Source organism: Homo sapiens, chromosome 10 (genome assembly GCF_000001405.40).
Source record: "Homo sapiens chromosome 10, GRCh38.p14 Primary Assembly".
NCBI classification, from domain to species: Eukaryota; Metazoa; Chordata; class Mammalia; order Primates; family Hominidae; genus Homo; species Homo sapiens.
The window spans coordinates 66,919,907-66,935,645 of NC_000010.11; the positions used below are offsets into that span (position 1 = coordinate 66,919,907).

The window sequence follows — 15,739 nt, forward strand, 5'->3', positions numbered from 1 at the left end:
AACTCTTTACAAAAGCTAAATCAAATGCGTCTATTGGTGAAAGTACTTTATAAGCGAATACACAGAATATCAATGGTGTATTCTGTATAATAAATGGTTGTGGTATTAAAATTAGTAGAAAAGAAATACTGAGGAATGTTTCCTATAATATTAGTAAATTCTGGCATGTCCTTGGTCATGTTCATGACCCTTGATAACCCTTAATATATGCTCATGGCCACAGAACCTATACAGAATCAAGGGAAAATTAATTTTGTCATAGATACTCTGATTGCAGAAATATCTGTAACACTTTATAAATATTGTACAATGTACTTACTCATAAATCATGAAAATGGTTCCTAAGTAAAAATCCTTAAAAGTTTATAAGTCAGGTTTTATAAGTCCCATTTTGCAGATGAGCAAACTGAGACCCAAAGAAGTTTGCACAGAATCAGTTCCAAATTCCAAATGTCAACTGACATATGCAATAAACAGTACATGTGTTGAGTCCAAATGTTTCCTTACCTAGTCTTTATGCAATCTCGCATTTAGATTTTCATCAAATCTTTTGGCTCTACTGCCCTCCAAGGCCATATGCAAAGATGTTGCCTCTGTCTAGTTCATTTGAATGGAAATCCATTTGCTATTGTTTGGGGGCTAATTTTGCAAATCATTTCATAACTTTCTGTTCAAAAACTACCTTTAAAATATTTAAAAATATATCATGGTGCTTTGAGGCTTAAGATTAAGAAATATTTTCAAGAACTAAAGTCTCATAAAAATGAAGGAAAGCAAGAGCCAAATCCAGATTTAATCCAAATGTGTTAAACTCTTGGTCTTGCTCACAAAATGTGACCCACGAAAACAGTTATGGCTTCACCATCCCTAGGGTTGCTTAGCCAATAAAAATGAACCATCTTTACTTTCCCTCTTTATTTCATACCTCCACTTCTATTTCCTTAGAAAAGTTCTGTTGATTTTATTGTAAATATATCCCGAATCTAACCAATGCTCACCACTTCCACTGCTAACACCCTGGCCCAAACACCATCATCTATCTCCTGGATTGATATGGTGGCCTCGTTACTGTGTCCCCTGCTAAGAGTGATCATCTCAGTCAGTCTGTGCTTCTATAAACAAAAATACTATATCCTGGGTGGTTTAAACAGTAAGCATTTATTTCTCACAGTTCTAATGGCTGGGAAGTCCAAAATGAAGGTAACAGAAGACCTGATGTCAAAGACAGCCTGATTTCTGGCTTCTTAATAGCTGCCTTCTCTTGTAGCAGAGAGAGAGAAGAAGCAAGCTCTCTCATTTCTGTCTCTTTTTATCCTTATAATCCCACTGATCTGTCATGAGGGCTCCAATACCATGACCTAATTACCTCACAAATGCTCTATCTCCAAATACCATCACATTGGGAATTGGGGTTTCAATATATGGCTTTTGGGGACGGTAAATGAGAACATCCGATCCACAGCAGTGATCCTTTTAATAGGTTATTTGATCACATACTAACTCTGCACAAAAATCTCCAGTTAGCTCCCCGTTTTCTCCATAATAAAGCCAGTATTCTTAGAATGTCATCCAAAGCCCTCCATGACCTCCATCTCCAATTATTCTATCACTTGGTCTCTCCATTCTAGACTCATTGGCCTCCTTGTTGTTCATGGAACACATGATCTGCTTCCACATTAGGCCTTTGCACTGGCCACTCCCCATATATACATTTAAGTCTCACAAGCTCATATCCTTCAAGGTTTGCTCAGGCCAGTTTCTTAATGGCCCTAACCATCCTATTTAAAACTCAGCCCACCTCATACCTTGCACTCCCAATCTTCCTTATATTTTTCTTTTTTTTCATAGTACATATGACCTACTAATATACTGTATATGTTTATTTTTAATTGTCTGTCTTATCCCTTTAGAATGTAATCTTCACAAGGGTACAGGCCTTTATTTTGCACACAGATGTATTCCCAGTGTCTGGAACAGTGTTTAGCACACAATGGTTATTCAAATTAAATATTTGTAAAATAAATAAAATATCTGAAGTCAACAACTGTTAAGATATCAGTCCATTCTCTTTCAGTTATGAATTTCTAAGTTTATATCTGGCAACTCAGTTTCATATTGGACTAAAATTTGGCAGTATTGCCAAACTGAGATTTGATTTATTTACCCAATTTAAACAAAATATGTTTAGCTATTTGAAGTCCTATAAGCACAATAAAATAAAAAGTCTTTAGATACATGACACTATTTTTATAATTGTATAAATCATTAAGGCCCTGGATGCATTGGGGATATTTAACTCGTCAGGTAGTTTACGGTTTGTTCTGTATGCGATATTAAGTGCAAAAGAAGTTGCTAGTTTCTAAATACATAATGCAATATAATTTTGCTTCTGCTGAAAGGCAAATCAGAAATAATCAGCTCGCTATAGTCGACAAGTAAAAGGAGAAAAAACTTTTAAAAAGTATACAGGCAAATTACTAAAATCTTTTAGAACACAGTCTTTTCTTTTTCTCTTGAGGGACTACTCTATGTCTTTGCAGTAACTTCTGCAGCCTCAAGTATTCAGTGTGGCTTAGAATCACATTATTTTGTTTTGGATTTCTCAACTAGCCTCATGGATAATCTTCCCTCTTCAAACAATTTATTATCCTGAACCAGATCAGACCTGGTTGTGATGCCGACTTAAGGGGTCGTGCCAAAGTAGGGGCCATACACAGTTCCTGGAGGCTGACTCAGTCCAAGAGTGGCTACTGATTACTGTTGAGAAAGAGATTGATGGTCAGTATTTTTTTCCTTAATATTATTTCATTATGAACATTTTTCCTTGTCAATCAATACATTGCTACCAAAGCAATTTTTGTTGTAGCACATCATTCCTGTCATATAGTTTTGTTTTATTTTTATTTTATTTTTTATTTTTGTGGGTACATAGTAAGTGTGCATGTTTATGGGGTACATGAGATGTTTTGATATAGGCATGCAATGTGTAATAATCACATAAGGGTAAGTGTGGTATCCATGCCCTTAAGCATTTACGCTTTGTATAAAAAACAATCCAATTATACTTTTAGTTATTTTTAAATGCACAATTAATTCATTATTGACTATAGTCACCCCATTGTGCTAGCCAATACTAGGTCTTATTTACTCACTCTAATATTTTATACCCTCAGTTGTTAGTATTAAGACTAAATAAATATTAATCATAAGATCCAAAGGGTAGGTGTAAAGTCAGAACTATGCAGTAAGATAAGATCAGGAACCAAGATAAAAGAAAAATGTCTGAAAACTAAGAGCAATGTGTGTAACACAGCAGAGAATAATATTCACCGTAAATAATTCAAGAAGATTTATCCCAGGAAAAGCAAAGTGAGAGCCCACATTCTCAGTGGGTTCCTCTGTTCTTCTGTCAATGGGAAGTAAAGTATGATGAGCAAGAAGCACAAAGTTAATGGGTCCTCCAGCCTCCTGGAGTGGCTCTCTGCAGCTCTTGGGCAAAACAGATGTCTCAATGACTACGTGGGAGAGTGAGGGGAAAACTCAGAGCCTTTCAAGCAACAGAGGTGTGAGAGAGAAGTTATCAATATAATTCTCATTAGTCTGTTTTTGAGAGATACAAGTTGTCAAGCCCATTTGGGATATTAAATGATAAGGGTTCAGTATTACCCTTCTGTGCTGTGCAAAGGAGAATAGTCAAAAGCATATTTACTGTTCTCATGAAATTTGTAGTTTAACTATGAAGACAAGATATCTGTGAAAAGTAAAGATCACTTTCTGATCAACTAAGTTTTCTCACTTTCTAGTTTTTGTCTTTGTATATACCTCCTTTAAGAATACTTTCTCCAAAATTGTTTCCAGTCTCACTGACTGAGGAAATTTTCAGGACTCAATCCCATGTACAAATGTTGAACATTACATAATCAGTTATACTATATCCATTGTACTTGTGACTGATATAAAAACATATTTTTTTCAATAGCTATTTATTGCATGTCTGCAATGTGCCAAGTGCTGTTGTAGATATTAGGAAAAATGAAGTAGACAAAACATTGTCTTTGTCCTTGTGGAACTTACATCTCAGTATTATAAGTGTGCAAACCCTCTCTTCCTACTAGGAGAAAATATTATTTTTAATCATTCCTTCACAGTGAGTTTCTTAAACTTATTTCATCAGAGACTATTGAAAAGCACACACTCTTCCATCCCCCTAGAATGAGAATCCTGGGGGAGGGATTGGGCAGTCTATCTTTTTAAGAAACTCACTGGATGTTTCATGTGCATTCACAGCTTAGGTAACTCTGGGGGAAAGCACTGCCCTATTAAGAACATACTGCCCAAGGAATTGGTAATATCCATTGTACTATATCTGTAGGACCCCTTTTGATTGTCATTACTAGCCTTTATCAAACATCTCATCCTTGGAGAATGTGAAAGCTCTCCACGGTTTTCCACAGACAGTTCACCTAACAAAAAACAACAAGGCAAACTTTTTCAAGAATACCATTATTTTTAAATAAAATGCCTCTACATGGCAGATGTTATTATGTTCTACTTTGGAGATGAAAAGAATCGAACATTATTAGTCATGATCCACAGAACCAGAAGATTTATTTTAAAGATAAAGTTCAGATGATGAACATAAAGGAAGTTATCTCATCAAAGAAGGCAAGACTGAGTAAATCTCAGAAATCCACCATGTACAATATTTAAAAATGCTCACTAAAGTTGTTCTTTGTGAGTTAATGAAGGTCAGTATAGTCAATATTCAGTACGTAATCCTAGCAAGTACAAATAAAGTTAATATTATTCAAATATCTTACACAGGCTTATTGCATGCAACACACTGTTCTAAGTAACATACAGATATTAAAATGACTTAATTCTCAAAACATGAAGTGAGTTTTTGTTTTTATGCCCGTTTTGCAGATGAGAAAACTGAGGCATAGGGAAGGTAAGTAACGCGCTTAAGGTTACATAGCTGGTAAATTGTAGCCAGGAGTTGGAATCTAGGTGCCAAAATCTATGCTGTTAATCACTAAACTACGCTGCCTTAGTTTTTATACTTCTTTAGGAACCTCAGACCAAAAGAAATTTAGGCAATTCTAATAGAACAAGCAAGAATTTGCTAATCACAGCTTCCTTGCCCCAATCCTTTAATCGGCTTCATTTTCACTGACTTCTTTTTTAAATGAAGATAACAATGTTGTTGAACAGGATCATCTAGTGGTTAGTGGTTCGGCATAAGAATGACTCGCTTCTGAAGCTCAGCTCTAGCACTCGCTTGCTGTATGACCTTGAGAAAGTTACCTCCCCAAGTCTGTTTCCTCATCTTTAAAAGAGAGGTTATAATAGGACCCACATCATACTATTGTTTAAAGAGAAAACAACGTAGCCCATTTAAAGCACTTAGAAAGTGCTCCATAAATATTATTAGTGTAATAAATAGCAGCAACATCAATAAAGTATGAACCAAATGATCTCTTGATTCGTATCCTAACACTAAAAATGGTTTATTTCCCTTCTAATTAAAAGAGAATTACAACAACCAAAACAACAAACGAAACTATAGCCATAAAATCAATTATATCGTCTGTGAGAAAACCGGAAAGGCTATTGGACACATTAATTCACTTGTCATCAGTCATCCCCTCTATTCCAAAATGTTTGTGTTCTAACATCCTGAGACACCTTGCATAATATAATCACTGTGACTCCAAGAGGTCAAATGGGCAGGCAGTTAATGCTTCTCTGTGAAAAGCTCAATAATTCATTTTATAAATTTCAGTTTAAAGCCTGCGTTGAGGTTAAGAAAAATTGACGTTCGGTCTGTGAACTTAATGTCAAGCTCCAGAAAAACTCTGGGCAGCACATGTTTAGCAATTAAGTGGACACAGACAATAAAGACGTTGCCAAATTGTAAAACAAGACTTGGAAATCACAGAAAATGTTGCTAGTTATTGATCACGGTGACCATTCAGTTCCTACTGAGCCACCCAAAAGAATCATTCATTTTCCAGCAGAGAGCCTGCTCATTTGCAAGATAAAAGAGAGACATTTCTGCACATGCCCATAATGTTCTTCACCACTGGGGGCAGCTTTACATAAGACTGCATTCACTGAAACCAAAGCAACAGTCCGAGCAGCTTTCAGAATGACAGTCTGCAGAAGTGAGCTGAGCGTGTGCGCGGTACGGGGCTCTCCTGCCTTCTGGGCTCCAACGCAGCTCTGTGGCTGAACTGGGTGCTCATCACGGGAACTGCTGGGGTATGGAATACAGATGTGGCAGCTCAGGTAGCCCCAAATTGCCTGGAAGAATACATCATGTTTTTCGATAAGAAGAAATTGTAGGATCCAGTTTTTTTTTTAACCGCCCCCTCCCCACCCCCCAAAAAACTGTAAAGATGCAAAAACGTAATATCCATGAAGATCCTATTACCTAGGAAGATTTTGATGTTTTGCTGCGAATGCGGTGTTGGGATTTATTTGTTCTTGGAGTGTTCTGCGTGGCTGGCAAAGAATAATGTTCCAAAATCGGTCCATCTCCCAAGGGGTCCAATTTTTCTTCCTGGGTGTCAGCGAGCCCTGACTCACTACAGTGCAGCTGACAGGGGCTGTCATGCAACTGGCCCCTAAGCCAAAGCAAAAGACCTAAGGACGACCTTTGAACAATACAAAGGATGGGTATGTTTTGTCATTTTTCTTCTTTCCTTCTTAAAAACAAAAAACAAAAAACCTCTAGTGTGTGTAATAATTCTGCCTTAATTATTTTAGAGATTACCTTGCTCTGCTCTAAGACTATGAATTTATTTGCTTAGTGGCATGTTTCCTTGTTTAACTATTTAAAAAAACAAAACACTAAAGACAATTCTCTTTAATTACAAAGAGATAATATGTGATGTTAAGTGTTATTTAGATTTAAATTTTTAAAAATGAAAAATATATGCCTATTTTTGCTTGATTAAGGATTAATTCTTTTTTGGGGGGATAACTTTTCTAAGTTGTTTTTATTTCCAGGTTTCAATGTAATTAGGCTACTGAGCGGATCAGCTGTAGCACTGGTTATAGCCCCCACTGTCTTACTGACAATGCTTTCTTCTGCCGAACGAGGATGCCCTAAGGGCTGTAGGTGTGAAGGCAAAATGGTATATTGTGAATCTCAGAAATTACAGGAGATACCCTCAAGTATATCTGCTGGTTGCTTAGGTTTGTCCCTTCGCTATAACAGCCTTCAAAAACTTAAGTATAATCAATTTAAAGGGCTCAACCAGCTCACCTGGCTATACCTTGACCATAACCATATCAGCAATATTGACGAAAATGCTTTTAATGGAATACGCAGACTCAAAGAGCTGATTCTTAGTTCCAATAGAATCTCCTATTTTCTTAACAATACCTTCAGACCTGTGACAAATTTACGGAACTTGGATCTGTCCTATAATCAGCTGCATTCTCTGGGATCTGAACAGTTTCGGGGCTTGCGGAAGCTGCTGAGTTTACATTTACGGTCTAACTCCCTGAGAACCATCCCTGTGCGAATATTCCAAGACTGCCGCAACCTGGAACTTTTGGACCTGGGATATAACCGGATCCGAAGTTTAGCCAGGAATGTCTTTGCTGGCATGATCAGACTCAAAGAACTTCACCTGGAGCACAATCAATTTTCCAAGCTCAACCTGGCCCTTTTTCCAAGGTTGGTCAGCCTTCAGAACCTTTACTTGCAGTGGAATAAAATCAGTGTCATAGGACAGACCATGTCCTGGACCTGGAGCTCCTTACAAAGGCTTGATTTATCAGGCAATGAGATCGAAGCTTTCAGTGGACCCAGTGTTTTCCAGTGTGTCCCGAATCTGCAGCGCCTCAACCTGGATTCCAACAAGCTCACATTTATTGGTCAAGAGATTTTGGATTCTTGGATATCCCTCAATGACATCAGTCTTGCTGGGAATATATGGGAATGCAGCAGAAATATTTGCTCCCTTGTAAACTGGCTGAAAAGTTTTAAAGGTCTAAGGGAGAATACAATTATCTGTGCCAGTCCCAAAGAGCTGCAAGGAGTAAATGTGATCGATGCAGTGAAGAACTACAGCATCTGTGGCAAAAGTACTACAGAGAGGTTTGATCTGGCCAGGGCTCTCCCAAAGCCGACGTTTAAGCCCAAGCTCCCCAGGCCGAAGCATGAGAGCAAACCCCCTTTGCCCCCGACGGTGGGAGCCACAGAGCCCGGCCCAGAGACCGATGCTGACGCCGAGCACATCTCTTTCCATAAAATCATCGCGGGCAGCGTGGCGCTTTTCCTGTCCGTGCTCGTCATCCTGCTGGTTATCTACGTGTCATGGAAGCGGTACCCTGCGAGCATGAAGCAGCTGCAGCAGCGCTCCCTCATGCGAAGGCACAGGAAAAAGAAAAGACAGTCCCTAAAGCAAATGACTCCCAGCACCCAGGAATTTTATGTAGATTATAAACCCACCAACACGGAGACCAGCGAGATGCTGCTGAATGGGACGGGACCCTGCACCTATAACAAATCGGGCTCCAGGGAGTGTGAGGTATGAACCATTGTGATAAAAAGAGCTCTTAAAAGCTGGGAAATAAGTGGTGCTTTATTGAACTCTGGTGACTATCAAGGGAACGCGATGCCCCCCCTCCCCTTCCCTCTCCCTCTCACTTTGCTGGCAAGATCCTTCCTTGTCCGTTTTAGTGCATTCATAATACTGGTCATTTTCCTCTCATACATAATCAACCCATTGAAATTTAAATACCACAATCAATGTGAAGCTTGAACTCCGGTTTAATATAATACCTATTGTATAAGACCCTTTACTGATTCCATTAATGTCGCATTTGTTTTAAGATAAAACTTCTTTCATAAGTAATCCCCCACATTCGCTGTTAGCCTCCTGGTGGGACCAAATCTACAGTTATAGAAGGTTTGCACCTCACTGGCAAATCAAGGAAAGAGGTGAATGATTCCAGGTGCTCGGAGCTTGAGCTGATTCTTGGAGATGACTCAGTTATGGGAACATTTTACAGACAGGCAGAGCCTTTAAACCAATGCCTGACTTAGAAAAGAAAATTGCAGGAAACTATCAAAAGATGGTGCTAGGTTAAAGCAGCACCCTGAGCAGTTTCCAGAGGTGTCTGAATTACAGTAAGGCAAGCACAGGGACAAAGTGATGAAGGGTTAAAATACTGCAAGCAGACAACTGCAAAATGTGAGGAGATGACAAAAATGTAAAGTTTTCGACTCAGCCTTGTCTCTGAAACCCATCTCTGTAAAATCAGACTAGAGGTTTCACTGCCAATTTCTTCTAGCCTGTATGTTTCATAAATAAATAAATGAAACAGCATTGAGAAGCCAGATTTCTCCACCACACCTCACATTAGTTAGGGAGTTTTCAGATAAGGTTCGCGAATGGGAAAGCAGCTTGCTACAGGCATGTGGTTGAGAGCTTACCAGAATTTCTCTTTCCAGTTTTTTCGAAGACCCTAATGTAGTTAGTAGAATCCTTAGCTCTGTCCTGTTCTGTTCAGAATTTGTCAGGCTGCCCTGTTGTGTTCCATTACATGTCCTGCACACACCAGTCCCCTAATGACAGACACTTCATTCAGATGTGTAAAGAGAACACATTCCAAGACGTGCCTTCCACCCACAGCCTCATTGAAAAGGACGACTTTGATAACACCTTAATAAATGTATAAAACGAATCTTAGAGGAAAAAAGACCAACACTATGACAGTTCTCTGTTGCTTTTCTATTGCTGACATTACAATGTCCCTGCGTTCATCTGTATTGTGAACTCATCCATCAGTACAGTTCTGTACAGACCCTGTTGGCAATCTGCAAGCTGCATGCATGTTTTTATGTCATTGGTGAAAGTTTATTGACTGCAGCACGAATATCATAGCTTCCATATTTGAGTAACTTGAACCACAGTCAATTAAGGTTTTTAGAAAGATATATTTAGTCTGTATTCTCCTTCATCCTCCAAAATGAACAGTTCTATTATAGAAGCAAATATCAGGAACTGCAACATTGAGGCTGTTTCATTTAATTTGGCTTGCCAACCCCTACATCTTTAACCATGTCCCTCTTCTCTGAAAACAGAATCACTGCAGCAACAAAGAAAAAGTGAATGGCTATTTTTACTAATTTTTTTTTATTGTTTGGGGGTTTTTCATATGCTGAGAGGAAAAATCTAGGCAAGTCACCATAAAATAAAATTTTAAGGATGCCAGATCATTAAAATCATACTTTTATAAGCAATAAAGAAAAAGAAATAGTTAAAGTGGATTTCTCAAGGTACTTTGATATTGATTAAATCTTACAATAGATGCCACTTCAGAAAAACATCTTAGTTACAATGTTTACCCATGAATAATTGTTGAATATACATGTATTCATGACAAAAAGTCACATATTTCCAATGGATTAATAATGCAGATACTTCCTCACAGCTTACTGGATGACTGAGCTTATTGTGATTTTTTTACTGAAGTTGTAACTTTACATTTTTCATAAAGCATCAGTAAATACATATTCCATCTTAAAAAGAAATTTTCTTTGGCTAGCCTCATTTTTATCTGTACTAAAGATGTTTGTATTAATGAAATGCAGTCTTAAAGTGAAGAACCCCATTTCTATTCTTTTTCACTTAACCTTCTGCCTTACTTGTGATGGATACCAAATATATTTAGGCAAGGAATACTTATATTTTTGAATTATTGCAAATTCTCAATGCCATGGTGCTACTAGTATATATAAAATATGCTTGCTGTATTGAAAAGCATTCCTAAAATTCAAAGCTACTTGGAATATAAAATATGATATAACACTAAATGAATCACCAATATTTTGAAAGCTGTCACTTTTTAATGCCTAACTTTACTAATAAACATAATAATAGATAAGAACGAAAATAAAATCCCTTAGGTGGTAAAACTCATTTTGATTTGGGACATGAAATTATGGGAAAAAAGTTCTTTCTTTCTCCTCACTCTTTGAGAATGAATCTTCTGTAATTCTCAGTATCTTCTGAGCACAGATATATAATTCTTGTAGATTTAATAACTAGTTTACCACTGTAAATTTTAAAACGCCAACTGCCAGTCTCCTGCTCAAAAGTTGTTGCCTCACCTCCATCCCATGGTACTTTCTGGACTACATATCATAAATCTATTTGTATAAGTATTTCAAGTTCATGCAGATTAGAGAAATGTGATTGATATTTATTTTTCTAGTACGTATTTACATAAAATATTGGACTTCCCTCAAAGGTGACAACAGTTAAAAAAAAAAAAAAAAAAAGCCTGACCTGTTGAACTATACAACAGAACACAGAATACTTTGCTTTACCAAAACAGAGAAGAAATGGGATTTAGTCTCTAAACTTCATGTGAGTTTTTTTCCATTTTTATTAACCCCAGTACACATAGTGCTACCACAGCATGTAGTTAAATAGTCCCAGTGCCACAGTCTTGTAAGCAATACTTATGCAAGATATATTGCATTGAAATGAGTTTGTATTTTCCAAGGACGTTGACATTACATCTTTTCAAAGAATTTAAACAATTTTTTACTTGATTTGGTGAGTGAACTACCTAAGTAGACAGGCAGTAAATTGTCTTTCTATGGAGCAGCAGTGACCTCTAGTGTCTGGTTAGACTAACCACAGCTATTCACACATTTTAGCTTTTTATCCTGAATCCTTATGTAAACGTGGTTTACAACATGTTTTTTGACTAGTAAATCAGATTTGAATTTTATTTAATTCATTTCCTTGGGAAATATAATTATAATGTAATTTTTGAATGTTATACTTTTCATTTTGACTTTTATAGTAATGCTGGAACAGAGGCCATAGAATTGGTACTGAAGGCTAGAAATAAGTGTCCAAGATGAAAAGCGAGTAATAACGCAATAAGAATAGATAAGAAATATTTTAGAGTGCTTATACTCATCGATGCTGGCTAAGCATTTTGATATTTTTATTAAAGGGGTTAATATTTTTCATCAGCAAGATACATGTAATTTAGGTAGGAAAAACAAATTTTAATATTATATCAAAAGAGTCAGCATCAGTCATTTACTGGTCAGGGATATGTCAAAGGTGTCAAAGGAGGGGGGCCTCCCCTTCCGGCTTTAGAACTCTCCAGTTTGCTGATTGTGCCAGTGACCTGTGCTTTGCCTCAGCGCTTTCTCCCTCCCTCCCCCTTTTCAGCCAGCTGAACACTGGTTCTATTAGGCTCTCTGACAATGATGTTACAGTCTAAGAGGTGATGATTCATGGATAATGAAATTATGCTCTCCTTCTGGGGAAGGATAATGCAGAGTCAGATTCATGGATTTGGCAAGAGGTTTTAGGATGCTGTAGGTGCATGAAATATCTCTTCTTCCCTTGACATTTACCAAAATGAGAACTCAAATCGTTTATTTAAAGTGTGGATTAGACTGCATCAGAAACAAGCATCAGGTCATGAAGCCTGAGATAAAGTGAGTTCCAGACATGGCAAGTAAGAATCGAGCCATGAGAAATAAAAAATTCAGAATCTGTGTTGCTTCATCTATTCCTTTTTGCTCTGGATTCTCATTAGAATCCAGATCTGTAGCTAACCCACGGAGTTTTGCTATTGTTGTATTCTCCTAGCTACCTACACTAAAAATCAGAGGCAGTTGGGGGAAACAATGAGCACAACAGAATATATAGGTAAATTTGAATGACACAAGTTTTAAGAGAAATAAAATGGATGGATGTTAAATAGTTTGTATCAAATAGCTCTAATTAAAAATGAATTAAAGAAATAATAATAATACATAGGTGAAAGTCACTGCTTTCCTAATCATAATAGCCTACAGAATTGGACCCAAATTCTTTTAGCCTCCAAAAGTTGGTGATGATTTTGGATACTTAATACTACCAATAAAATCTAAATAACAATAATTTATGATTCTTTTGCATTTGAGGGAAATATCACAGCCAGGCATGGTAGAATACGGGCCTTAGAAATTAAGACCTAAATTCAAGTTCCTTTGACACTTGCTAATCAAGTCATCACAGGTACATTTCCTGGCTTTTCTGAATTTGAAGTTTCTCATATGTAACACAGATGTGTACTATTGACTGCTCATGGTAATTGGGAGGACGAAATGTGAAAAGTACTTTGTAAACTCTAAAATGGCAACTACCTCTTCTTTTCAAAAAGCCCTTAGTGAGATACTGAGTGGGGTTTGTTGTTCTATGTTTGGCATGAGCCAAAAAGAAATCAGTAACCTCCATGTTACAGAACCCCAAGCCCATTTTACATCATTAGAAGTCTAGAACATCGTCTTTGACTTTCTGTTTTCACATAGGCACAGCTTCTTCCACCTCATGTTATCTAAGTCTATGATTTTTATACTGATTATCACAATGTACAACAGACATAAAGACACCGACCAGCGAACACTAAAACAAATAATTATCAAACACATTGAAAATTCTACTTGTATTTCAGATCAGGCAACTATAGCAAGGGCTTTCAATCAGGACGTTTACCTGTCCACTCCCTTTCTAGTATCATTGTGTTCAATCCTTGTTGACTTTACACTGGATCAATATAATGTTTATATGGCAACATGACATCATTATTGAGCAAAAAGTAATTGCATATAACATGTTACTGTAGGATTAGCACGCATTCCAGGTATCAGTCACATGATATCTGCTCTGATGTTTCTCCCCTGGCCACTCCAGTGGAAGACTGTGCCCAAGATCTCCTCTTAGTATAGAAATTACTATTGACTTTATCAATTATAATTATTGAAAAATCACTGGATAAAAAGGGGTATAAATGTACAGGGACTTCCTTTTATATGTCATTGCTTATGCAAAATTACATCATTAATTCATCAAAGAATGACAAAAGGCTTCCTCCGCTGGATGTAGCTGCTCTTACCAATATGAAGTAGCAGGTGTATTTTCAAAATGTTTGTCATTTAAGAAGACACAGACTGTTCCTCTTTGACAGCTGAGTTCCTATGGCATATCTAAAGATCAGAGAGAGGATGATGGTTTTTCAGGTGGGGAAGCAGTTGTGAGTTTTCTGACATTTTAACTTCATAGGGTCATGAATGGACGCTCTTGAGTTAGGGATCCTGAACACGTGAGGAAAATTCCAGGAACACAGAGAGAACAGGAATATCTGGGACATGATATAAGACCAAGCAAGTACAATGTATTTTACAATTATACTTTCTAACAACAGAACTTCTATAAGCAATAATAATCCATTTTATTGAAAAAAAAGAAAAACAGCTTCTATCTTATCCTTTCCAGCAAATGTTGTAATGATAATTAATAACTTTATTAACAATTCTCCATGTTTTCTTTTTATTTTTAAGGGCTCTCACTTCTCCCAATCAGGATTCTCATTTATCCTTTCTCTCACTCTTAAATTGTTCTCCTTATTTGAAAGAGTCTGTAATTCCTATATCACCAAAAAATGTCTTCCTTTATAAACCAACACAATTCAGTCATTTGGCTCAAAAGAGCAGCATTATCTCCAAAAGAAAAGTTACACACTTGCATTAAATATTAGGACATAAAACAAATTTAAAGCTGGCTGACACTTCTCTTTCCTCTACAATCTATAAAACACCTCTACAGTATATTATGATTTGCAATTGAAAAAACAGGATATATAGTTGAATTACAGTCTTACAAAGTATTAAAGCTTACTGTTTTCCTCCTTAATTAGCTAATTCCTAGAAAACAAAGTATAGGACTTTATGTATAGGGGTACTCAACTATATTTCACCAATCAGAAACACTCTTTCCAACAATCAGAATTTTGTCTTCTCAAGGGTAAAATATAGTTTTTTTGGCCTGGCATATAAAATAGTAAGGCAAATACTACATTTAGCAAAGGCAATTTTTGTTGACATTTCATCACATCAATTACATCTATGCAGGGTGGAAAATACATTTTGTCAGTAAGGAGGCAATGACTTCAATTAAATGTAAATCCTTAGTCAGCATTCTTGGTGCTAAAGCTTATTAATGAAGTGGGAGCAGAATGAAAATGTCATCAGACAGTGAAGCTACAGTATCATGAGGCTATGCTACCTTGAGTGGTGTTCATAGCTTCAACTGGGTGGCCCTCATGTAGCTAAAAAAGTGCTCCTTGTCATTAATATTGATCTATGTACTTTCTAAAAGAAAGAATATGCTTACCAACAGAGCCCTCATATTGACTGTCTTCCTATAAGTTTCCCTCATTAATATTTGATGCAGTCAACCAGAATCTCACAAGAGCTTTAAAGGAAACTTGTAGAATGCATCATGTTGATATTGAAAAAGTAGAGTAGCTTTTAAAATTCTGATAAATGTGTGACAAGATTACAACAGTGAAACCTCTCTAAGGTACAACAGTGAAAATAGTTATAACGGTGAAAACTCTAGGAAGTTTACCATAGTGAAAACTCTCCAAGAAGTTTAAAATTCAGCGCTTTGAGATTAGTGTTGGCATGTACTTGTCAATTTATGAAAGGGATTTTGCCTAATGTATTCAAAATTTTAATGTGAAAGGTATAAATACTTGGTTTGTGTACTGGCACCAATAGAGGGTTAGGTAACATCACTGAATTATGATTAAAATGGAATATTTAAAGATCTTTCTAATATGGCAGAGGACATATTACATACGTATTTGTATTTCCACCAAGGTACGTATGTTGTACATGCCTAAAAAAATATATATATAT

At 36.7% G+C, this 15,739-nt stretch overlaps 2 protein-coding genes and 1 long non-coding RNA gene across 9 annotated transcripts in view, besides 2 other annotated features; 1 reads left to right on the top strand and 2 right to left on the bottom strand.

The window, feature by feature from the left end:
- CTNNA3 (catenin alpha 3) overlaps positions 1-15,739 on the bottom strand; it is a 1,851,072-nt gene that overhangs the window by 1,007,384 nt on the left and 827,949 nt on the right. The window lies entirely within an intron of this gene.
- Positions 1-15,739, bottom strand: part of LOC101928961 (uncharacterized) — a 118,044-nt gene that overhangs the window by 25,797 nt on the left and 76,508 nt on the right. The window lies entirely within an intron of this gene.
- Positions 5,517-6,373: an enhancer, noted in NCBI's record as "OCT4-NANOG hESC enhancer chr10:68685181-68686037 (GRCh37/hg19 assembly coordinates)". NCBI's record gives its function as "activates a minimal SCP1, AML or CMV promoter by ChIP-STARR-seq in naive H9 embryonic stem cells {active_cell/tissue: H9 hESC(naive)}" and the evidence as "EXISTENCE:reporter gene assay evidence [ECO:0000049][PMID:30033119]".
- Positions 5,993-6,102: a silencer, noted in NCBI's record as "silent region_2413". NCBI's record gives its function as "represses an Ori minimal core promoter by ATAC-STARR-seq in GM12878 lymphoblastoid cells {active_cell/tissue: GM12878}" and the evidence as "EXISTENCE:reporter gene assay evidence [ECO:0000049][PMID:35858748]".
- The window catches only part of LRRTM3 (leucine rich repeat transmembrane neuronal 3), a 175,516-nt gene continuing 165,906 nt past the window's right edge, over positions 6,130-15,739 (top strand). The window contains exons 1-2 of the mRNA NM_178011.5: positions 6,130-6,681; positions 7,015-8,546. Of these exons, the coding sequence (NP_821079.3) occupies positions 6,678-6,681; positions 7,015-8,546 (1,536 nt within the window). The 5' untranslated portion in view covers positions 6,130-6,677. The remainder of the gene's footprint in view (positions 6,682-7,014; positions 8,547-15,739) is intronic.